Raw genomic sequence first — 25325 nt, 5'->3', positions numbered from 1 at the left:
GCCAATGTCCAGTCTGGGGCTCTTTTTATTAAATAAAGTTATATTTCCAATATTGATGAATGTATTACAATAAAGTAGCTTTTCAAAACTGTCTCATCTCTCAGACAAACATTGAGTGAAATTGTGTGAATCCAATTTTTCCAGCATTATCTCAAATCTTTTTAGTAATCTGAAGATCCTATAAATATACAATTGAGATTAAATTTTCTAGTGCCAAACTTTACCCATTTTAAAATTTTAAAACTATTGTCTTATTTTAAATAATAGGTATAATTGCTGTCACTCATAATCTTTCCCTGATACATCAAAACCTCTGTTCCTCACATCAACCCTGTGAAATCAGGAGGACAAGTGCAATTTAATTTTGTTGTGGAGGTAAGGAACAGACTTAAAGATATTGTATGGTTTGCTTAAAATGAAAGTGTTTGAAAATGACATAGATAAGCCTGGAGCCAAGTTCACAGTCAGTCTACCTCACCATGACAGGTCTTGGATTCATTCGAGGAACTTGTGAAACCTTTGCAACATACAAGTTGGCACCATCTTCTTTCATGACTAACCTTAAAATGAGAATTTTTTAAAGCATGTAACTAGAGAACACTTCAGATTTAATGCAAAGTAAATTCAAATACAAATATTACTGCCAGATTTTTAGAACTTACTGTCTTGTCCATTCAGTACCATTTATCCATTTCCATGGTTGGCCTTGTTCTCTGCTCAGCCCAATCCAGTGATCAGATGGGCCTTTATATCTCAACAGGAAATTCTTTCAGAAAACACAGAGATGATATTCATTAATCTAACATAACCCATCCTCTCCCAGAAATGTTGCTGCTATGCTATATTCTTAACTACTCATAATTTTCTTCCTTTTGATTTTGTATTGTTTAGTAATACATACAGAATAGGTGTGCTATATTATCATACATATCAAAAGAAGATAATTTAAAACTGAGAGAAATTGTTGATAATTTGGTTACTTTTGTTTCTGTATTGTACTCCTTTGTATGACTCTTCTCCAATTTATCTATTATACTATCGGTTGACACCAGGGTTTTATCAAGTTTGGAATGTATGCTACTATGACATTCTTGGCACCTGTCCTAGAATAGAATTTTTAGGCCCCAGGATATGCTTTTTGTCAACTTTAAGAAATGACACCACCAGGCCAAGCACCTGTAATCCCAGTACTTTGGGAGGCCGAGGCAGGCGGATCACCTGAGGCCAAGAGTTTGAGACTAGGCTTGGCCAACATGATGAAGCCCCCTCTCTATTAAAAAAAATACAAAAATTAGCTGGGCGTGATGGCATGCACCTGTAATCCCAGCTATTTGGGAGGCTGAGGCATGAGAATCATTTGAACCTGGGAGACAAAAGTTGTAGTGAGCCAAGATCACGCCACTGCACTCCAGCCTGGGCAATAGAGTGAGATTCTGTCTCAAAAAGAAACGAACGAACGAACGAACGAAAGAAAGAGAAAGAAAGAAAGAAAGAAAGAGAAAGAAAAGACACCAAACTAATGTAAGTGTACCAAATTATCCTCACAACAGCAGCAGCATAGGCTGGTTTCCTTTGCTGTGTTTCCTTGTCAATGTGTACTGTCCTTTTTATGATTACAAGTTCTGAATTTTAACGCAATTAAATATATAAACAATTTTCTTTATTATTAGTAAATTTAGGGACTTATTAGGTAAATCTTTTACTCTTTCAAATCATAAAGATGACTTCTATTTTTGTTTTACTTTTTTTAGTTCCTTACAGTGTACAGTTAGGCTATGGATTTGAGATCTTTCTTCTTTTTTAGTTAACTGCTCACAGCTATAAATTTCCCTCTTAGAACTATGTTCAGTGTATACCATAAACGTGCTATTTGTATTTTTACTTCATTTGTCTCAAGGTATTTTCTAATGTCCCTTGTGATTTCTTCTTTGACCAATGGCTGTTGAAGAGCGGGTTTTTAAATTTCTACATATGCGTGACTTTTCTGGTTTTTCTAGTTATTGATTTCTAGCTTCATTCCATTGTAATTGCAAAAGATACTTTTTATGACTTCAAATTTTCACACTTACTAACACTTGTTTTGTGGCCTAACATATGGTTTAAGAATGTTCCATGTGCATTTGAGAAGAATTAATATTCTGCTCTTGTTGGGTAGATTCTTCTGTATATGCCTGTTAGGGATAATTGGTTTATAGTGTTGTTCAAATTTTCTATTTCCTTATTGATCTTATGTCTAGTTGTTTAATCTCATGTTGAAAGTGGAATATTTCATTCTCTAACTTTTCATAGAACTGTTCTTTTCTCCCTTAAATTATAGCAATTATTGCTTCATATATTTTGAGGCTGTATTATTAAGTACATATATTTTATAACATAATTATTTGGCTATGTCAAAATTTTTGTCAATGCATAATGCCCTTCTTTTTCTCTTGTAAATTTTACTTTAGTTTATTTTGTTTGACAAAAATATAGCCACTCGGCACTATCTTGGTTACTACTGTTTGTATGGAATATCTTTTTCAGTCCTTTTACTTTCAACTTCTTTGTGTCCTTATATCTAAGGCAAGTCTCTTATAGACAGCATGTAGATGAGTCTTGTTTTTCTTTTTAATTTATTTTAGTTTTTAGCCAACTTGTCAGTCTCAGCCCTTTAATAGGATGGCTTCATCCTTTTCTATTTAATGTGATTACTAAAACAAGATTTACTTTTGCCATTTAATCATTTGTTTTCTCTATATCTTATATGTCTTTGTTTCTCAAGTTGTCTGTTACTGACTTTTTTTGTATTTAATTGGTTTTTTATAGTGTATTGTTTTTCTTTTTTCCTTTTCTGCATAATTTTGGTAATTTTATTAGTGGTTACCTTGAGAATTATAATTAGCATCTTAAACTTGTAACAATATAATTTCATAATATCAACATAGCTTCAATAACTATGCAAACATTTTGATCCTATATGTCTTCATCCCTGCTTCATAAGACTGTCACAGATTGCATCTTTATACATTATATGACCACTATCATATTTATAATTTTTATTCATTTGCCTATGAAGTTATAGATAAATATAAATATAGAAAGCTATAAATAGGAGAAGTTATAAACTATATGACACATGTAGTAATTCTGGGTTTTATATTTACCTCTATTGTTACTTTTATGAATATTCTTTATTTTGGAGGCTCTGAATTGCTGTCTAGTGTACTTTCAGTTCAGCCTAAAAGGTTTCCTTTAGCATTTTCTGTAGCACATGTCTACTGGTAATAAAATCCCTTAATTATTGGTTATCTGAAAATGTGTTACTTTTTCCTTCATTCTTGAAGGACAACTTTGCTATACATAGAATTCATGGTTGGCAGTTTTATTTTTTCTTTCAGACATTTAAATATGCCATTCCACTACCTTCTGATCTCCATGGTTTCTCAGAGAAAATCAGCTATTAATTTTATTCAGGGTCTTATGTAAATGATGAGTTGCTTCATTCTGGCTGCTTTCAAAATTCTCTCTGTGGATTTTGTCAACTTGACTATATTTTGTCTCAATGTAGATCTCTTTAAGTTTACCCTTTTGGAGTTCATTGAGCCTCTTGGATGTATATATTTATGTATTTCCTCAGATTTTGGAAAGTTTTGTTCATTATTTCTTTAAGTGTATTTCTCTGCTTCTCTTTCTCTTCTCTTTCCTGGATTTCTACAGTACATATGTTAGTATGTTTGCTGATGTCCTACAGGTTCCTTAGAATTTATTTATCTTCATTCTTTTTCTTTGTTTTTCTTAGTCTGGATTGTTTCAATTATCTTATTTTCAAGTTTTCTGATCTCTTACTTCTCAAATCTGCTGTTGAACTTCTTCATTGAGTTTTTAAAATTATTTTTAAATTTCAGTCATTGTACTTTTCAGCTCTGGAATTTTTGCTTGGTTCTTTTTTACAATTTCTACCTTTATATTGATATTCTAATTTTGTTCATTTATTATGTTTTCGGTTTCCTTTAGCTTTTTGTCTAGTTTCCTTTAACTCATTGGTTATACTTAAGACAGCTGATTTAACATTTTTGACTCATATTTTTAATATCTGAGCCTCTTCAGGGATAGTTTCTGTCAGATTACTTTTTCTTCCTGTGAATGAACCATACTTTTCTTTGCATGTTTTGTAATTTTTTTTTGAGAACTGGACATTATGAATACTATGTTGTGGTAACTCTGGTAACTTAATTATTTTGCTCTTCAGGGATTGTCAAATCTTGGTTGTTGTGGCTCAGAGTCATTTGGTCATGATTTTTTCCCAACTATTTTTATTCTCTGTTGTGCATGGTCATTGAAATCTCTGTTCTGTTATCTCTGCTGTCAGCCAGTTATCTAATAAAAATTGTCTTAAATGACTGCTTCCTAAAGGGAGGAAAAACACATACTATTTATTTAAATCCTTGGGAAGCCACTTCAGCTGATGAGGACTGATGCAATGATAGCCCACTTCTGTGTCTGCCCCTCAGCATTCAAAGGCAGAAATCAGCAATAACCCTGACATTTGGACAAAAAGGTGCTTATTGTTCACCCTGGCTGCAGGAATTCATTACAAGAACATGGGCAGCAGTTCCCATGGATCCCTGCAATAATGGGGTATGGAAAATAGTTATTATTGAGTGGAAAGGCTGAAATTCACCAACATTAACCAAAATTTATCATCCTCTTTATCAAACTCTTCCCTTGATGCTTCCAGTGTTTAACTAGACTCGAGAATTCCAAAATAGTTACTTCAGACAGTTTTTGACAGTTCAATAGTTTTCTCAGTGGAGGAACAGATTTCTGTAGCTTTTTAGTCTACCAACCTCTATGACATCATTCTTGCTTGACTTATTGTTTTTATTTTATTATTTTTTTGAGATAGAGTCTCACTCTGTTAGGCTGGAGTACAGTAGCATGATTTCAGCTAACTGTAGGCCTCCACCTCCCAGGTTCAAGCAATTCTGCTGCCTCAGCCTCCTGAGTAGCTGGAACTACAGGCGTATGCCACCATGCCCAGCTAATTTTTGTATTTTTTAGTTGAGATGGGGTTTCACCATGTTGGCCAGGCTGATCTCAAACTCCTGACCTCAAGTGATACACCCGCCTTGGCCTCCCAAAGTGCTGGGATTACAGGCATGTGCCACTGCTCTTGGCCTTGTTTGATTTATTTTGAAACAATGTTGCTAACTTCATACAAACTTAAAACTGGGTTTCTACCAATACTTTTCTAATCCTTATTTGCACAATTCTGGCTCACAAGTCAAAGAAGGCTCTGGCTTGCTTGCCCTCTGGGCCTGTTCCTGCCACGAATATTAAGGTAATTTTAGATGGTTCACTGTAAAATATAATACATGCTAGGTTACTCTTTCGTTATGCAAAAAAAAAAAAAAAAAAAAAAAATCAATGTAAAAGCAGATGTCTAAACCTACCTCTTAGATAATTTCACAGGAAAACATATCCTTGTAGGGCTGAATCTTTGATTCTGGCCAGAACTATTTTCTTACCAGTTCCTGGAAGCTTTCAACCTGAGCAAGATCAGCATCTTGTGAGTCACAAAACCTCTGACTTGATGTCCAGTTCTTGGTGTCATCAGAAAAATAGAAACACTTTCTTTGAAAACCAATCCAGCTTTCTGGGCATGCAGCTTGAAGACATACTGATGGCTCTTGATGGCAGTTAGCTCTTATTGCTGAAAATAAAATAAAAATAAATAAAATAAAAATTTCTTACTTTTATATTGTATTGTATAAATTACCAAGTGCTAATATACTTTCTGACACTCCTGTTAAGTATTAAATGTATTATTTTCATTTTTCAAGTGAGAAATATGATGCTAAATATAATTGCATACATTACACAGCAAATGGCAAAACTGAGATTCAAACTCATGCCTTCAGCAGGGGGTGAGCTGAAAAAGGAGTTATTAGTAACTTAAGCTTGCTCTGGGCCATGTATCTATTTGGCTCTCAACAGTGTTACCCTTTCTTAAAATATTAGATACATTAATGATAGCATTTGATCAGCTTTGGAGAACAGATAGTTCTCCAAGTGCTCTAGATTAGGGGTCCCCAACCCCTAGGCCATGGATCAGTACTGGTCCATGGATGAGTCAGGAAGCAGGCTGCACAGCAGGAGGTAAGCAGCGAATGAGTAAGTGAAGCTTCATCTGTATTTACAGCCACTCCCCATCACTCACATTACCTCATGAGCTCCACCTCCTGTCAGATCAGCAGTGGCATTAGATTCTCATAGGAGGGCAAACCCTATTGGGAACTTCTCATGTGAGGAATCTAGGTTGTGGGCTCCTTGTGAGAATCTAATACCTGATGAACTGTCACTGTCTCCCATCACTCACAGATGGTACCATCTACTTTCAGAAAAACTAGCTCAGGGTTCCCACTGATTCTACATTATGGTGAGTTGTATAATTATTTTATTATATATTATTACACAATGTAATAATAATGGAAATAAAGGGCACAATAAAAGTAATGCACTTAAATTATCCCCAAACCATTCCTTGACCCCAGTCCATGAAAACGTTGTCTTTCACAAAACTGGTCCCTCATGCCAACAAGGTTGGCGATTGCTGCTCCAGATGACTTGGTAAAATGAAGGGCAGGATAGAGATGCCTTATGTGAATAAGGTTTCTTGATGTGAAAAAGCCTTGTATATGTCTAAATACTATCATAAATATGAAATAAGTTGTTGTACAGTGAACTTCCTTCCACTAAGGAGATTTAGTGAGGTTTTCTACACTTTGAAGGCAGCAATACTTCACTGGACAGGCTTTTCTGACCCACTTCTTATATAATCAGGAGAAATGCTCTCTTCATGTGGGATCGAGATGAATGAATGTCTCTCCAGATAGTTGTCACTGAGCCCCTAGTAGCTACCAGTTCATCTTCTATTATATAACCACCTTCTACCTTCAACTCAATGGTTCTGAAAGTGTCTATGATAGACCAGAATGCTGGGTATTCATAGAATCATTACTATCAATTGGCACCATTATCCTTGGATTTGGCTCTTGTGAGATGAGAAATCACTCTTAGTTATGAATAATAACTGGTGTAATCTGAATAACAAATCATAACATGAGGCAAACGTGTATTGTATCTGGTTTGGTATCACAAACAAGGTGATACCAAATTATAACTATTAAAATGTAATTTCTTGAACCAGACCATAATGCAGGATGACTTTCCCCAAATCTGTGCATATTTGTTGTGCTATCACTGCTCCTGTATCAACCAATTTAAAGAAAACGACCAGACCAGAGAGGGCAAGATGGCTGATTAGAAACAGCTCTGGTCTGCAGTTCCCAGTGAGACCAATGCAGAAGGCAGGTGATTTCTGCATTTCCAACTGAGGTACCAGGATCATCTCACTGGGACTGGTTACACAAGTGGGTGCAGCCCACAGAGGGCAAGCAGAAGCAGGGTGGGGCGCTGCTTCACCCAGGAAGCACAAGGGGTGGGAGAACTCCCTCCCCTAGCCAAGGGAAGTTGTGAGGGACTGTGCTGTGAGGTGCTATCTGGCCCAGATACTACGCTTTTCCCACGGTTTTTGCAACCCACAGACCAGGAGATTCTCTGGAGTGCCAACACTACCAGAACCCTGGGTTTCAAGCACAAAACTGGGTGGCGATTTGGGCAGTCACCAAGATAACTGCAGGAGTTTTTTTCATACCCCAGTGGAGCCTGGAACCCACTGAGACAGAATCATTCACTCTGCTGGAAAGGGGGCTGAAGCCAGGGAGCCAAGTGGTCTTGCTCAGTGGGTCCAATCCCCACAGAGCCCAGCAAGCTAAGACCCACTGGCTGGAAATTCTTGCTGCCAGCACAGCAGTCTGAAGTGGACCCCAGATGCTCAAGCTTGGTGAGGGGAGGTGCATCCGCCATTACTGAGGCTTGAGTAGGTGATTTTCCCCTCACAGTGTAAACAAAGCCCTGGGGGAAGTTCGGACTGGGCGGAGCCCACCACAGTGCAGCAAAGCCAGTGCAGCAAAGCCACTGCAGCCGGACTGCCTCTCTAGATTCCTCCTCTCTGGGCAGGGCATCTCTGAAAGAAAGGCAGCAGCCCCAGTCAGGGGCTTATAGATAAAACTCTTATCTCCCTGGGACAGAGCACCTGGGGGAAAGGGTGGCTGTGGTCACGGCTTCAGGAGACTTAAACATTCCTGCCAGCCAGCTCTGAAAAGAGCAGTGGATCTCCCAGCACAGTGCTCGAGCTCTTCTGAGGGAAAGACTGCCTTTTCAAGTGGGTCCCTGACCCCCATGCCTCCTGACTGGGAGACAACTCCTAGCAGGGGTTGATAGGCACCTCATACAGGACAGCTCAGCTGGCATCTGGTGCGTGCCCCTCTGGGATGAAGCTTCCAGAGGAAGGAGCAGGCAGCAATCTTTGCTTTTCTTCAGCCTTTGCTGGTGATACCCAGGCAAGGAAGAAATGGATAAATTCCTGGACACATACACCCTCCCAAGACTAAACCAGGAAGAAATCAGATTCCTGAATAGACCAATAACAGGTTCTGAAACTGAGGCAGTAATTAATAGCCTACCCAACCAAAACAAGCCCATGTCCAGACAAATGCACTGCCGAATTCTACCAGAGGTACGAAGAGGAGCTGGTACCATTCCTTCTGAAATTATTCCAAACAATAGAAAAAGAAGGAATTCTCCCTAACTCATTATATGAGACCAGCATCATCCTGATACCAAAACCTAGCAGAGATACAACAAAAAAGAAAATTTCAGGCCAATATTCCTGATGAACATCAATGCAAAAATCCTCAATAAAATACTGGCCAGCCGAATCCAGCAGCACATCAAAAGCTTATCCACCACGATCAAGTCAGTTTCATCCCTGGGATGAAAGTCTGGTTCAATATATGTAAATTAATAAATGTAATCCATTACATAAGCAGAACCAATGACAAAAACCACATGATGATCTCAACAGATGCAGAAAAGGCCTTTGATAAAATTGAACACCCCTTCATGATAAAAACACACAATAGACTAGGTATTGATGGAACATACATTAAAATAATAAAAGCTATTTATGACAAACTCATAGCGAATATCATACTGAGTGGCCAAAAGCTGGAAGCATTCCCTTTGTAAACTGGCACAAGGCAAGGATGCCCTCTCTCACCACTCCTATTCAATATAGTATTGGAAGTTCTAGTCAGGGCAATCAGGTAAAAGAAAGAAAGAAAGAAAGTGTATTCAACAGGAAGAGAGGAAGTCAAATTATCTCTGTTTGCAGATGACAGAATTGTATATTTAGAAAACCCCATTGTCTCATCCCCTTAAAACTTATTAAGCTGATAAGCAACTTCAGCAAATTCTCAGGATACGAAATCAATGTGCAAAAATCACAAGCATTCCTATACACCAATAACAGACAAACAGAGAGCCAAATCATGAGTGAACTCCCATTCACAATTGCTACTAAGAGAATAAAATACCTAAGAATACAACTTACAAGAGATGTGAAGGACCTCTTCAAGGAGAACTACAAATCACTGCTCAAGGAAATAAGAGATGACACAAACAAATGGAAAATCATTCCATGCTCATAGATAGGAAGAATCAATATTATGAAAATAGTCATATAGCTCAAAGTAATTTATAGATTGAATGCTATTCCCATCAAGCTACCATTGACTTTCTTCACAGAATTAAAAAAAAAAAAACTTTAAATTTCATATGGAACCAAAAAAGAGCCTGTATAGCCAAGACAATCCTAAGCAAAAAGAACTAAGCTGGAGGCATCATGCTACCTGACTTCAAATTAAACTATAAGGCTACAGTAACCAAAACAGCATGGTGTTGGTACCAAAACAGATATATTGACCAATGGACAGAACAGAGGCCTCAGAAATAACACCCAACATCTACAACCATCTGATCTTTGACAAACCTGACAAAAACAAGCAATGGGGGAAAGGATTCCCTATTTAATAAATGGTGTTGAGAAAACTGGCTAGCCATATGCAGAAAACTGAAGCTGGACCCCTTCCTTACACCTTACACAAAAATTAGCTCAAGATGGATTAAAGACTTAAACATAAGACCTAAAACCATAAAAACCTGAGAACAAAACCTAGGCAATACCATTCAGGACACAGGCATGGGCAAAGGTTTTATGATTAAAACACCAAAAGCAATTGCAACAAAAGCAAAAATTGACAAGCGGGATCTAATTTAACTAAAGAGCTTCTGCACAAAAAAAAAAAAAAAAAAACAAACACAAAAAACAAACTATCATCAGAGTGAACAGGCAACCTACAGAATGGGAGACAAATTTTGCAATCTATCCGTTTGACAAACAGCTAATATCTAGAATCTACAAGGAACTTAAAAAAATTTACAAGAATAAAACAAAAAACCCTATCAAAAAATGGGCAAAAGATATGAACAGACACTTCACAAAAGAAGACATTTATGTGGCCAACAAATATATGATAAAAAGCTCATCATAACTGATCATTAGAGAAATTCAAATCAAAACAACAATGAGATACCATCTCATGCCAGTTACAATGACAATCATTAAAAAGTCAGGAAACAACAGACGCTGAAGAGGATGTAGAGAAATAGGAACACTTTTACACTGTTGGTGGGAGTGTAAATTAGTTCAACCATTTTGGAAAATACAGTGTGGCAATTCCTCAAGGATCTATAACCAGAAATACTGGGTCTATACCCAAAGGATTATAAATCATTCTACTATAAAGACACATGCACTCGTATGTTTATTGTGGCACTATTCACAATAGCAAAGACTTGGAACCAACCCAAATGCTCATCAATGATAGACTGGATAAAGAAAATGTGGCACATATACACCATGGAATACTATACAGCCATAAAGAAGAATGAGTTCATATTCTTTGCAGGGAGACAAATGAAACTGGAAACCATCATTCTCATCAAACTAACACAGGAACAGAAAACCAAATACTGCAGGTTCTCACTCATATGTGGGAGCTGAACAATGAGAACACATGGATGCAGGGAGCGGAACATCACACACTGAGGCGTGTTGAGGGTTGGGGGGCAACGGGAGGGATAGCATTAGGAGAAATACCTAATATAGATGATGGGTTGATAGGTGCATCAAACCACCATGGCACGTGTATACCTATGTAACGAACCTGCGGGTTCTGCACATTTATCCCAGAACTTAAAGTATAATTTAAAAAAAAAGTTAGGGACCAGAGCTATAACTACAAAGCTCTATTAGGAATTTTTATAACTAAAGCCAATCTAAATAACTCGATTTAAATGGGGAAATACCACACTTGAATAGTTAACTAACAATCTAAATGTTAAATAAAACATAAAAATGATATAAAGTAATACATAATAACACATTTAAAAAAAGAAAGAAAGAAAATGACCAGATTAGAAGATGGCTCCAGCTATTGGCTCCACACAAGAAATCATTTCCAAAGTGCTAGCTGAAAGGAAGAGAAACACATAATGGATAATAAAGGAAAACAGTCATAAGTGTCAATTTCATATGCTTACTGTAAAAAAAAGAGCTATAAATTTAAATTATATTTCAGAATACATTCCCTTGATTAATACTGAGGTACTTACAGAGTACAGAAATTGTCTCTTTCCAATTTTTTCTTTCTTAAATAGTTACAATTAGTTGACTTAAATCTCTGAAATAAAAAAATTATTTTTGCTTCATAAATGTATAAAGTATATTATCTGTGGTTTCAAAATGCCAAAAGATAATAAGCAAAAGATTTGCAAATGAATAGAAATTATTTAGAGTGTTATATGGAGTGCTCCAAGTATTGCTGACTCTTAAGTTACGTAAGCAGTATTTGAAGGGTCTCTCTGAAATTACTTCAGAATGTAGTAACAGGGGGTAGATTTTAGGTTGATATCCAGATTGGCATGAGGTTTGGGGGAAGTGCTTTTGTAGTTTTCTATGTCTTCGCTTGGTCTATATTAGATGCACTGCAAGCATGTTTTGAAGTACAAGATAATTTTTATAGCTAATTGCTTTTAGGGTACAATCACTAAACGGAGTTTGTTTTCTAGGAAGATGGGCTACATATGCTAAAAAAAACAAGGGCCAGAACATGCTCAAATAGCTAGGAAGAAAGAACAGGCTGCCTGTGATGTTATACAGCCACTTAGTAGTTTTGTGTACTTTAAACCATCTGTTTTGCTATTTTTCATGAAACAAGGTTGTTGTGGAGGTAAAATTAACCATGTTCCTAGATCGGACAAGAGACTATTTTTCAGTTTACTATTTTTTTTAATTTTTGCATCAATATTCTTAAGGAATAGTGGTCTGTCTTCTACCTTCTGAAGACTCTGATCATCTCACTAAACTTGGAATAATGTGAACCCTATTTACATAATTAAAATTTTTGGTGCCACTTAAAAAGTTATTGGAGTGTAACTCAGTTAGTGAGACAATATATTAAAAGCTGTAAAGAATAACAAAATTATTCAGATTCTTCCTCTTCTTTTTACAAGTATAATTCTCTCTAGATGAATAAAGATTACAGTTCACTTACCGCTTAAAGCAGCAACCATTCCACACACTATGATTGTCAGAAACATGATTAAGAAAAATAAGCGCCAAATTAAGGTAGCTTTAATAGAATGCTCTTTTGAATGCAGACAACCTGGAAAAAATTATTGAAAAACATTTTAACAATTAAATACAGACATAATACTGCCAGAAACATTAAGCATCAAAATGTTATTTTTATTTAATTCCTTCGCTTTTCACTAGAGGATGCAAATGACCTGTCATCTTATGAACTTACTATTCTATCTCCAGAATTTAATCATTTTCCAAAGTTAAAAGAATTGATTTTAACTTTCCAGCTACCATATTCAAGTTACCCTTTCAATTGGAGAGATTCATGTCAACTAAACCACAGGAATGAAATCAACAAAATCCAAGTAACTGGAAATTCAACATAGCAAATTATTCTGATTCCTGTCTAAAAATGTAAAGAAATATTTTTAAATGATATTAAGAGGAAATCTATCGATTAAAATAGACTTAAAAGGCATTGTTTTGGAGGAAAAAAGGCAAAACTGGAGTGATAAAGTGATTATTGTAGAGGTCAAATTAGTGTTATTCTTGGAAGGATAGGAGAGTGAATAGTTAAGAATACATGGAGGGCCTCTGAGCCACATAACAAGGATCTTTCTTAGACAATGTTAGCAGTTGTATTAGTCCATCCTCACTGCTATGAAGAACTGCCCAAGACTGGATAATTTAAAAAGGAAAGAAGTTTAACTGACTCACAATTCTACATGGCTGGGGAGGCCTCAGGAAACTTACAATAATGGTGGAAGAGGAAGCAAACGTGTTCTTCTTCACATGGCAGCAGGAGACAGAAGTGCCTAACAAAGGGGTAAAAGCCCCTTATAAAACCATCAGATATCATGAAAACTCACTCGCTATCACAAGAACAGCACGAGGGTAACCAACTCCATGATTCAGTTATCTCCCACTGGGTCCCTCCCATGACAAGTGGGGATTATGAGAACTACAATTCAAGATGAGATTTGGGTAAAGACACAGCTAGGCCATATCAGGAGTCAACAAAGGTGTTTATCTTATAATAATTAATCAAGCTACATATTTGTATTGTATAATTTCCTGTAGTTGTGTTATATTTCAAAATGTCTTAGGTTATCTAAAACCTCTTATGAAGTTCATTATTGGAACCCTGTTCTGACACAATCTCTTGCATACAATTCACACCTCTAGTTAATTTATCTAGGTTTGTCCTTAGCTAAATAGGCATATTTTTCTCCAACATTCCCCCCAACACTAGAGAGATCAGCAAGCTTTACATTGATGTTTCCCAAGATATTTGTCTTAATCAATAGATTTTAGTTTTTATCAGTTTAAGTTGACAGAAATACTGAATTAAAAATATAGAGTTCACATATGCCCCTGTACCCCCTTTATCAAAGATTTAAGAAATCATAAGAGAATCCAGAGGAAAATAAATTCTACATGTAGAGAAACAAAGATAAAAATGACATTTACATTCTTCTCAAAAACCATGCAAGCAAGAAGACAGTGGAAACAAATATTTAAAGTATTAAGAGAAAAAACCTTATCAACTTAGAATTCTTTAGCCAAAAAAATTCTTCAAAGTGAATGAGAAACAACCACTATTTTGGAGAAACATTGAGATAACTTGTTGCCAGTAGACTTGTCTTATATCAAAAAACAAAAAAGTTAAATGCAATTATTTTAAAAGGAAAGAGAATTATACAGGTTAGAAACCTAAATTATATGAAAAAGGAACAATATAAAAAATAAGTGAAGGTAAAATAAAACTATTTTTCTTATTCTTAATTGATCTAACAAATGGCAGTTTGTTCAAAATAACAATAGTAGCAATATATTTAATTATGTGTGCTTATGTATACATCTTTTATATATATTTATATGCTTATGTATTCTTACATGTAAATAAAATAAATAACAGAAATGACACATGGGATAAAAGCAGAGAATTAGATTTTTTTATTATAAGGTACTCACAGTACCTGTGAAATGGTATAGTATTATTTGAAAGCAAACTTATGTTAGTTGTGAGTGTATATTGCAAACACTAGGGTAACCACTAAAATCACATTTTTAAAGTATAATTGATATACTAAGAATGAGAAAATATGGAACTTTATAAATGCTAAGTTAAAAACTAAAAATGCAGGAAAAAAATGGAAGACATGGCTGGGTGTTGTAGCTTACACTTATAATCCCAACCCTTTGAGACACTGAGGCAGGAGGATCATTTGAGGCCAGAAGTTCAAGACCAGCCTGGGCAACGTAGCAAAGACTCTGTCGCTACAAAAATTAAATAAAAATTAGCCAGGCTTTGTGGCACATGCCCGTAATACCAGGTACTCAGGGCTCAGGTAGGAGAATCACTTGAGCCTAGGATTTCAAGGGTACAGGGAGCTATGATTATACCACCACACTCTAGCCTAATGAACAGAATGAGACTCAGTCTCTGAAAAGAAGAGAATGAAAAACAAAAATAGAAACAAAGAACAAAGGCAACAAATAGAAAACAGAAAGAAATATGGTAGATATTTAATCCACCTATATTAATAATCATTTTAATATCAATGATCTAAATGCACCAATTAAAAATCAGAGATTAAACTATATGATGTCTGCAGGAAATGCACTTTAAATATAAAGACACACAAATTAAAAGTAAATGGATCATGAATATATATATGTATTATATCATACTGGCACAAACAAAAGAAAGCAGGAGAAGCTATACAAATTTCAAACAGAACAAACCTCAAAGCAAGGAAATTTATCAGGAATGAAGAAAAGCATTGCATAATGGTATAAGAATTAGCTTTCCAAGAAACTATGTTATGTTTCCGCATAACAAACCTAAATGTGCACGCACCTAACAAGAGAGTATTTAACTACGTGAGGCAAAAATTAACAGAACTGCAAGGAGAAATCGATGAATTCATTATCATAGTTGGAGATTTCAACAACACTCTATTGGAAATGCACAGATCCAGCAGGGTATATTGGCTCATGACTGTAATCTCAGCACTTTGGGAGGCCCAAAAGGCTGGATTATTTGATCTCAGGAGTTCAAGACCAACCTGAGCAATGTGGTAAAATCTGTCTCTACAAAAAGACAAAAATGAGCCAAGTGTGGTGGTATTTGCCGGTATTCCCAGCTACTCAGGAGACTGAGGTGGGAGGATTGCTTGAACTCGGGAAGCAGTGGTTGAAATGAGATGAGATTGCATTACTGCACTCCAGTCTGGGTGACAGAGCGAGACTCTGTCTCAAAAACAACAAAATAAAAAAAAAAAAAAAAAAAAAGAAAGAAAGAAATGCCCAGATCCAGCAGGCAGAAAATCAGTAGAACTTAGGTGAACTCAGCAACATCATCAATTAACCGAATATAATTGACATCTATAGACTACTTTGTCAAACAACAGCAGAATACACACTCTCAAGATTACATGGAATAATCACCATAATAGACCACCTTCTGGGCCAAAACATATCCTAACAAATTTAACAAAATAGAAATCATACAGCGTCTGCTCTCAGACCACAATGTAAATAAACTAGAGTCAATAACAGAAAGAAAATTTTAAAATCCCACTAATCTCCACAAACATGTGGAGATTAAACAATACGTTTCTAAACAACATATGGGTCAAGGAAGAAATCACAATAGAAGTTTTAAAATACTTCAACTAAATGAAAATGAAAATACAGCTTAACAAAATTTGTGGGATGCAGTAAAAGCATTGTTTAAAGAGAAATTGATAGTATTGAATGCATCTATTAGAAAAAAATAAAGATCTAAAATTAATGATCTAAGTTTACACCTTAGGAAACTAGAAATAGAAGAGCAAATCAGGTACAAATTAAACAGAAGAAAAGAAATAATTAGAGCAGAAATAAAAAATGGGACACTGATAGAAAAAAGTTATCAAAACCAAAAACTAGGTTTGAAAGATTAAAAAAAAAAAAATGGATAAGGCTCTAGCCAGGCTAATTAAGAAGAAAAGAGGAAGGACACAAATTATCTATATCAGAAATAAATAAGGAGTTGTTACTACAGATCCCATGGATGCTAAAATGGACAGTTCTATGTCCACACAGAGGATCAATCACTTGAGAGACATAATTTGTCTAAACTCATACATGGAGAAATAGATGACCTAAATATGTTTACATTTATTACAGAAGTTGACCTTCCAAAACAGAAAGCACCATGTCAAGATGGACTCACTGGTGAATTCAACCAAATATTTAAGGAAAAAATTATACCAATTGTCTATAATTTGTTTTAGAAGTTAGAGCCGAGAGAATACTTCTTAACTCATTCTATGAGGCCAGCTTTATCCTAATAGGAAAATCAGATTAAGACATCACAAGAAAAGAAAACTATGGACCAATATACCTCATGAACATAGATGCAAAACCTTAACAAAACATCAGCAAATCCAATCCAATGATGTATAAAAAGAATTATATACTGTGATGAAGTTAAATTTATTTCAGCTATTTAAGGCAGGTTCAACATTCAAAAATCAATTAATGTTATCCATAACATTAACAAGCTAAAAAAAATCACTTGATTATATCAATATATACAAAAAAATTAACAAAATTCAACGCCCATTTGTGATAACTTTCAGTAAACAAAATTCAACACAGATTTGTGACAAAAACTCCCAGTAAACTAGAAATAGGGAAGAACTTCTTCACCTTAATAAAGAATATCTACAATAACCTACAGCTAACATCCTCAAGTATGGTGAGAAACTTGAAGTTTTCCCACTAAGATCAAGGACAAGGCAAAGATGTCCCTCTCGCCAATACTTTACAACATTGTTCTGGAAGTACCAGATAATGCAGTAAGACAAGAAAAGGAAATAAAGGAAATAAAAGGTATACAGATGAGAAAGTAAGAAATAAAACTGTATTTCTCTGCAGATGACATAATCATCTATGTAGAAAATCCAAAATAATTGACAATTTTGGGAACTGACATGCAAGGTTACTGATATGTAAGGTTGCAGAATGCATGGCTAATACACAAAAGTCAATCACTTTTCTATATGCCAGAAATAAACAAATGGACTTTTAATTGAGAACACAGTGCCATATACATTATCATTCAAAAAATAAAATACTTAGGTATAAATCTAACAAAATATATACAAAATCTATATGTGGAAAACTACAAACTGATGAATGAAATCAATGAAGAACTAAATAAATGGAGAAGTATTTTATGTTCATGGAGAGAAAGACTCAACATTGCCAAGATATCAATTCTTCCCAGCTTAATCTACAGATTAAATGCAATGATAATAATAATCTCAGCAAGTTATTGTATAAATATCAACAAACTGATTCTAAAGTTTATATAGATAGGCAAAAGACCCAGAAAAGCAAACACATTATTGAAGGAGATGAGCAAAGTTAAACAACTGATACTACCTGACTTCATGATTTACTCTAAAACTACAGTAATCAAGACAGTGTGGTATTTGTTAAAGAACAGACAAATAAGGCTGGGCGCGGTGGCTCACGCCTGTAATCCTAGCACTTTGGGAGGCCAAGGCAGGTGGATCATGAGGTCAGGAGATCTATACCATCCTGGCTAACACGGTGAAACCCCGTCTCTACTAAAAATACAAAAATTAGCCGGGCGTGGTGGCAGGTGTCTGTAGTCCCAGCTACTCAGGAGGCTGAGGCAGGAGAATGGTGGGTGAACCCAGGAGGCGGAGCTTGCAGTGAGCCGAGATTGCGCCACTGCACTCCGGCCTGGGCAAGAGAGTGAGACTCCGTCTCTTAAAAAAAAAAAAAAAAAAGGAATAGACAAATAAATTAATGAAAAAGGATAGAAAGCAGAGTAGCAGACTAAAAAGAAATAGACCCAGATAAATATAGTCAACTGATCTTTCATAAACAAGCAAAGCAATACAATTAAGAAAAGACAGTCTTTTCAACTAACGATGCTGAATAACTAGACACCCACATACAAATAAATGAATCTAGGCCCAGATTTTACATTTTTCCCCAAAATGACTCAAAATGTATCATAGTCCTAAAGGTAAAACACAAAACTGTAAAACTCGTAGAAGATAATATAAGAGAAAGCCTAGATAACTTTGGGTATGGTGATGACTTTTTAAATATAATACCAAAGGCACAATCCATGAAAGAAAGAACTGATAAACTGGACTTCATTAAAACTAAAAACTTTCAACCTGCAAAAGACATAATCAAAATAATGAAAAGACAAATTATTAATATCATATGTCTTTTGAGAATTGCAAGTTAAAATAATGAGATATCATTACATATTACTTAAGTGTTACATTAAAACATTAACAATATCAAATACTAGCAAGGATGTGGAGCAACCAGAAGTCTCATGCATTACTGGTAAGAAAGCGAAATGCTACAGCCACTTTGGCAGTTTCTTACAAAAGAAAACATACTTGAAGGGAGGGGCCAAAATGGCCAAACAGAAACAGCTCTGGTCTGAAGCTCCCAGTGAGATGAATGCGGAAGGCAGGTGAATTCTGCATCTCCATCTGAGGTACCAAGTTCATCTCATTGGGCAGCTGGTGCAACCCACAGGAAGCAGGAAGAAAGCAGGTGGGGTGTCATTTCACCCAGGAGCTGCACAGGGTGGGGAGACTTGCCTCCCTGAGGTAAGGGAAGTGGCGAGGGTCTGTCCTACCCACCAGGTGTACTATGCTTCTCCCACAGATTTTTGCAATCTGCAGATCAGAAGATTCCCTCATGAGCCTACACCACCAGGGCCCTGGGTCTCAAGCACAAACCTGGGCAAACCAATGACAGCCACTCCCATTGGTGGCTGTTTAGGCAGGCACTGAGCTGCAGGAGTTTTTACATACTCCAGTGGTGCCTGGAACTCCAGTGAGGCACGAGAACCATCCAGTCCCATGGAAAGGGGGCTGAAGCCAAGGAGGAGAGCCCAGCAGTCTCAATCAGTAGGTTCTACTCCCATGGATCCCTGCAAGCTAAGACCCACTGGCTTGAGATCCCTGCTGCCAGCAGAGTAGTCTGGAGTGTGCCTGGAATGACTAAGTTCCTGGGGGGAGGGGTGACCACCATTAGTTGGCGGTTTGCCCCTGACAGTGCAAAGGAGCCTGAGAGGTTTGGACTGGGCCAGATTTCCCACAGTGCAGCAAACTGGCTGTGGCAGGTTGTGGCCAGACTGCCTCTTTAGGTGGGACCCTGAGCCATCCCTCCTCACCAGGCAGGTCATCCCTGCAAGAATTCCAGCAGCTCTGGTCAGGGGCTTACAGACAGAACTCTCATCTCGCTGAGTCAGAGAACCTGAGGGGAGAGGCAGTTTCAGGTTCAGCAGACTTATCTTTTCTGCCTGCTGGCTCTGAAGAGACCAGATGAACCCGATGAGTGGGATTCCCCCAGCACAGCACACCAGCTCTGCTAAGGGAATGTCAGATTCTCTACATAAGCGGGTCCTTGATCCCATGCCTCCTGACTGGGTGAGACTTCCCAACAAGGGTCACCAGACACCTCATACAGAAGAGTTCCGGCTGGCATCAGGCCAGTGCCCCTCTGGGGCAAAACTTCTGAAGGAAGAAGCAGGCAGCAATCTGCTGTTCTGCAGCCTCCACTGGTGATACCCACGTGAACAGGGTCTGGAGTGGATCCCCAGCAAACTGCAGCAGACTTGCCTCAGAAAGGCTGACTGTTAGAAGATAAACAAACAAACAGAAAGTAACAACAACAACATCTACAAAAAAGACTCCACAAAAACCCCATTCAAAGGTCATCAGTCTCAAAGATCAAAGGTGGATAAATCCACGAAGATGAGGAAAAAACAATGAAAAAACGGTGAAAATTCCAAAAGCCAGAGTGCCTCTTCTCCTCCAAATGATCGCAACAGTTCTCCTGTGAGGGCACAGAACAAGGCTGAAGCTGAGATGGATAAACTGACAGAAGTAGGCTTCAGAAAGTTGGTAATAACGAATTTCGCTGAGCTAAAGCATTATGTTCTAACCCAATGCAAAGAAGCTAAGAAGCATGATAAAAGATTACAGGAGCTGTTAACCAGAATAACCAGTTCAGAGAGGAACATAAATGACCTGATGGAGCTGAAAAACACAGCACGAGAACATCATGTTGCAAACACAAGTATCAATAGCTGAATTGACCAAGCAGAAGAGAAAATATCAGAGCTTGAAGACTCTCTTGCTGAAATAAGGCAGACAGACAAGATTAGAGAAAAAAGAATGAAAAGAAATGAACAAAACTTCCAAGAACTATGGGACTATGTAAAAAGACCGAACCTACCACTGACTGGAGTACCTGAAAGAGACAGGGAGGATGGAACCAAGTTGGAAAACACACTTCAGGATATAATCCAGGAGAACTTCCCCAACCTAGCAAGACAGGCCAATATTCAAATTCAGGAAATCCAGAGAACCCCAATAAGATACTTCATGAGTAGATCAACCCCAAGACACATACTCCAAGGTCGAAATGGAAGAAAAAATATTAAGGGCAGCCAGGGAGAAAGGTCAGGTCACTGACAAAGGGAAGTCCATCAGATTATGAATTTTGAGTGCTACAATATGCCAATGTAGGTTATTAATTGTAATAAATGTACTGCTGGTGAAGAATGTTGATGTTAGAGACTGCTATGGTTTGAATGTGTCTCCAAAGTTCATGTGTTAGATACTTAATCCCCAATGCAATAGTGTTGAGAGGCAGGTCCTTTAAGAGGTAATCAGGTCATAATGTCCTTATAATGGGAGTGGGTTTACTATCACGAAAGTGGATTTGTTATAAAAGCAAGTTTGGTGCCTCTTGCTCTCTCTCTTTCTTATGCATGTGCTCTCTTGCCCTTCCAAATTTTGCCATGGGATGATGGAGCAAGATGTGTTTCTCAGTCTTGAACTTTCCAGCCTCCAGAACTATGAGCCAATAGATTTTGTTCATTATAAATTACCCAGTCTTGGGTATTCTGTAATAGCAGCACAAAACAGACTAAGACAGAGTCTATATATGTGTGGCAACAAGGAGAAAATGAAAAAAAAAACTACCTTTCTCACAATTTTGCTGTGATCCCAAAATGGCTCTAAAAATATGGTCTTTAAACAAAACAAAAAAGAGCAAAAGGAAAAAGGATATACTAGCAGCAGATCTTACAAGAATATCCAAATTTAAAGAGCCATCAAACCAGTGGTGAATTTAAATTTCCCTCCTCTAGTATCACTGCCCCGAACTTAATACAGCCAGAAACATGGAATTGAGCCTCTGTCAGCATAAAGAGAGGGCTCCAGGAGAAGCACTAGAGGTATGGTCTGAGGAACAGAAAAGCAAACTCCTATCTCAAATAGAGTGTGAAAATACCACGTTTATTTTTTCTCCCCCTCTTGTCTACATTCTCATGTGCCTCAAACCTCAGGCAATCTGATGATGGTAGGGGAAACTACAGCAACATGCAATAGCCAAAACCTTGAGAAAGGTTAATCCTCGGCCGGGCGCGGTGGCTCACGCCTGTAATCCCAGCAGTTTGGGAGGCCGAGGCGGGCGGATCACAAAGTCAGGAGATCGAGACCATCCTGGCTAACACGGTGAAACCCCGTCTCTACTAAAAATACAAAAAAGTAGCCGGGCGTGGTGGCGGGCGCCTGTAGTCCCAGCTACTCAGGAGGCTGAGGCAGAATGGCGTGAACCCAGGAGGCGGGGCTTGCAGTGAGCCGAGATCGCGCCACTGCACTCCAGCCTGGGGGACAGAGTGAGACTCCACCTCAAAAAAAGAAAAGAAATCTAAAGTCAATCCTTTCCATTCAGTTGAGCTGTAGCTCCATGAGAGTGGGGCCAAACCTCTTGCTTTTTTTTTCTTCTTTCTCACTGTCCGTCTGCCACATGAGCTTAAAGATGCAGCTATAATTGCAGAAGTATATGGTTCATCAGAATAAAAGGAGGCCCGCATTTCTAGCTGGAGGATGGAAAGGAGAAGCCCCTGGGAACCTGAAAGTACGGGTCAGATGGTGAAGAGGAAGAAACTTTAGAAAGAGACCCATGAACATTATTCATAAACTCCTGGATTCACCTGCCCCTCAACTTATGCATGCCTAGATATGGTTCTAATTGGCACACTAAAGATGCTAAGACCTGAACTAATGAGTAGAGCATTGCACAGTTCCCAATTTCACCCCTGGTTGATGCACATGTCTGAATAGCACTACAAAGGCTTTCAGAATGGAACTGACATTGGAACCAGATCCCACAGATTGTCTTCATCTCACCAGGGTGATTGCTTGCTAAAACAATAGTATCAATATACTCCAAAATTTAAATAAGATCCAGTCTAACTAAATATTTGTTCAAAATGTTCAAATTACAATCCAAAATTACACAGTATATGAAGAACCACGAAAATGTCAACTTCCATGGGGAAAGAAAACACAAGCCAAGGAGGACATGACAGAGATGTTGGAACTATCCGACAAACAGTTTAAAGCATTTGGTATAAAATGCTCAAAATACCCAATGAATGAAGAAATAAATGAAGTCATTTAACAACATTTAGAGTTCATCTTTTTCTGCCTCTGAATTACCTTTTCTCCAAATTGATTACCTTTTAAGTTGGGAGGAGAAAACTCCAAACTTTTAAGTCCTAAGTTATAAAACCTTGATATTCCCTAACTGTGGCAAAAGTCATTTTTTTCACTTACTAAAGCATCATATAAAGCTATATATATATATATTTCCAGTGCATCCAATGTAACATAATTCCATTAGAATGCCCTACTAAGTTTCTACTCAACCTTTGTTACTTTTTTGATTTGTAAATGTCCTTTACATACTATTTTCTACCTTTTCTCTCTTAAGAGCTTCCATGATAGGTTTTCTACCTATGTAATAATGATGGTATCTTGTATCTGAGTAACACTTTAGAGTTTGTATAGATTTTTTTTTAGTGAAATTAACTGTTATTTTCAATCCTAAACTTAACCTTATCTCATTGTCTTACATCTTTCTCTCATTGTTCCCTCTCCTTAGTTGTTAGAACTGGGAATATAAATATATGCATGTTTTACACAAATTATAAGCCAATTTATGGACTCCCACATTCCATCTCTTATCCTTGAAAACTTTTTACTAGATCAGCACCTTTCCTGTGTGAGCCCATCACTACCACTACCTTCCCATTCCAGTCCTCACACTTACTCTGTAGAGCCCAGCTTCTTACCTGGGTTTGCAGGCAATTCAGATGGTGTAATGTCTTTCTCCACATTGTTACTGTCATGCATTTTGCCTCCAGTTTCTATGAGTGATCTAAACCACAGTCTCTACGTTTTCAACCCCAAGAATGATTCAAAACAAAACAAAAAAAAAGCCCAACGACTAAAACGTGTAAGTGTGTAACCGCCCCAGTAACTCAAAATGTCAAGCCTTTAAGTTAAATATAGCTAGAGGAACAAATGAAGCATAAATTGTTTCAAAAATCAGCTCATCACAACAGAATAAACTGGTGTTTGTAAGAATTTTAAAAAGTTGAAGCTACTTCTCTAACAGTATTTTGGTTACGAAAGAAACTAATGTTTGATAACTTAAAATTTCTTTGACTATTAAAAATTATAATTGTATTTTGTGCGGTACAAAGCAATATTATGATAGAAAATAAGAATTTATTGAAAGGAAGGAGTTGGCTCTCAGAGGAAATGAATGTTAGGTAAGTAAAGACAACAGCAATTTTAATCTCAAATTAAAATTCATTCCCAAGAGTTTACGCTCATTCAAAAAATATCTTGTTTTCAATTTCTTCAAGATATTTTGGGAATTTGCTGCTATGGCTGCTACAACAACTTTTCAAAAATGGGCTTGAACGGTGTGCAGCTTCTGTGCTCCCTCTGGCATGATCCAGGAGCACAGAGGCTCTTTAGCAGCAAGAGCTTCTTGTCAGATGTGTTGATTTCTTGTATATAAATGCCAGTAAGGGCACCTTTTACTAAAATATAATTTATAGTAATGTGCACAAATCATAAGCATACAACTAAACACATTCATTAAAAATATAACATGTAACAAGTGCCTAGATGAAGTATATCTTAAAACCACGTAAAACAATACCAACACGCTATGTGCCCTACTCATGTCCTGCAACGCTCATTACCCCAAATACAATCTCTATCTTAACTCTGACAACATATTTTCCCTGCTTTTGAATTCTATACAGTAGCCCCCCTTACCTGTAAGAAATAAGTTCCAGATTGGACAGCTATTGCCTTTATCAAATAGAAATGAAGTTGCATTAGGACTGAGTTCCAGTTTCTGTAAGATTTTATATATCTTTTTCTTTACTATTTCATCATTTCTAGTTTGTCCTAGGACCTATGATAAAGCCTTCTAGTAATTCCATCTGAGAACCTGCTTTTTATCAAAGCTGCTTCTCTTTCTTGGAAGTTGAATTTGGTTTTGTCTCCTGAACAACATGTGATTGCCAAAAGTTCAAGTCTGTTTTTCACATAGTTCTTCCTAACCTCCTTTCCTGTGAAATTTAATAATTTGAAAATTGCTTGAGAGAAAAATTTTTCTCATTTCTTTGGCCCTCTCTCCTCTCTGGGGGTTTTGGTCCTTCAAGTGCTTTAGGAAGAGATTTTTCTCTCCCCCAAAAAAATGCCTGGTATCCACAGCCCTCTCCCCAGAATCTCAGCATCTGACCCACTGCCAAGATGCCCCTAAGAGAAGGGTGGCTCCTGGAATGCTGACTCACTTC

General features: G+C 37.1%; 1 protein-coding gene across 6 annotated transcripts in view, besides 1 other annotated feature; it reads right to left on the bottom strand.

The window, feature by feature from the left end:
• Nucleotides 1-23881, bottom strand: part of CLEC2D (C-type lectin domain family 2 member D) — a 29841-nt gene extending 5960 nt beyond the window's left edge. Inside the window, exons 1-5 of one of the 6 annotated variants that reach the window (NM_001004419.5) lie at nt 23799-23881; nt 12561-12671; nt 5508-5692; nt 663-766; nt 479-560 (exon numbers count right to left, since the gene is read on the bottom strand). In NM_001004419.5, the coding sequence (NP_001004419.1) occupies nt 479-560; nt 663-766; nt 5508-5692; nt 12561-12671; nt 23799-23859 (543 nt within the window). In that variant the 5' untranslated portion in view covers nt 23860-23881. Of the gene's footprint in view, nt 1-478; nt 561-662; nt 767-5432; nt 5693-12560; nt 12672-23798 lie in introns of all 6 variants that reach the window. The other 5 variants (NM_013269.6, NR_036693.3, NM_001197318.3 and 2 more) reach the window with 5 other exon arrangements.
• Nucleotides 20003-20262: an enhancer, noted in NCBI's record as "active region_5947". NCBI's record gives its function as "activates an Ori minimal core promoter by ATAC-STARR-seq in GM12878 lymphoblastoid cells {active_cell/tissue: GM12878}" and the evidence as "EXISTENCE:reporter gene assay evidence [ECO:0000049][PMID:35858748]".
• Nucleotides 23882-25325: the final 1444 nt, after the last annotated feature.

This window comes from Homo sapiens, chromosome 12, assembly GCF_000001405.40.
Source record: "Homo sapiens chromosome 12, GRCh38.p14 Primary Assembly".
In the NCBI taxonomy this organism is placed as follows: Eukaryota; Metazoa; Chordata; class Mammalia; order Primates; family Hominidae; genus Homo; species Homo sapiens.
Note: the sequence above shows the minus strand (reverse complement) of the source record. Positions and strands in the feature narration are given on the sequence as shown.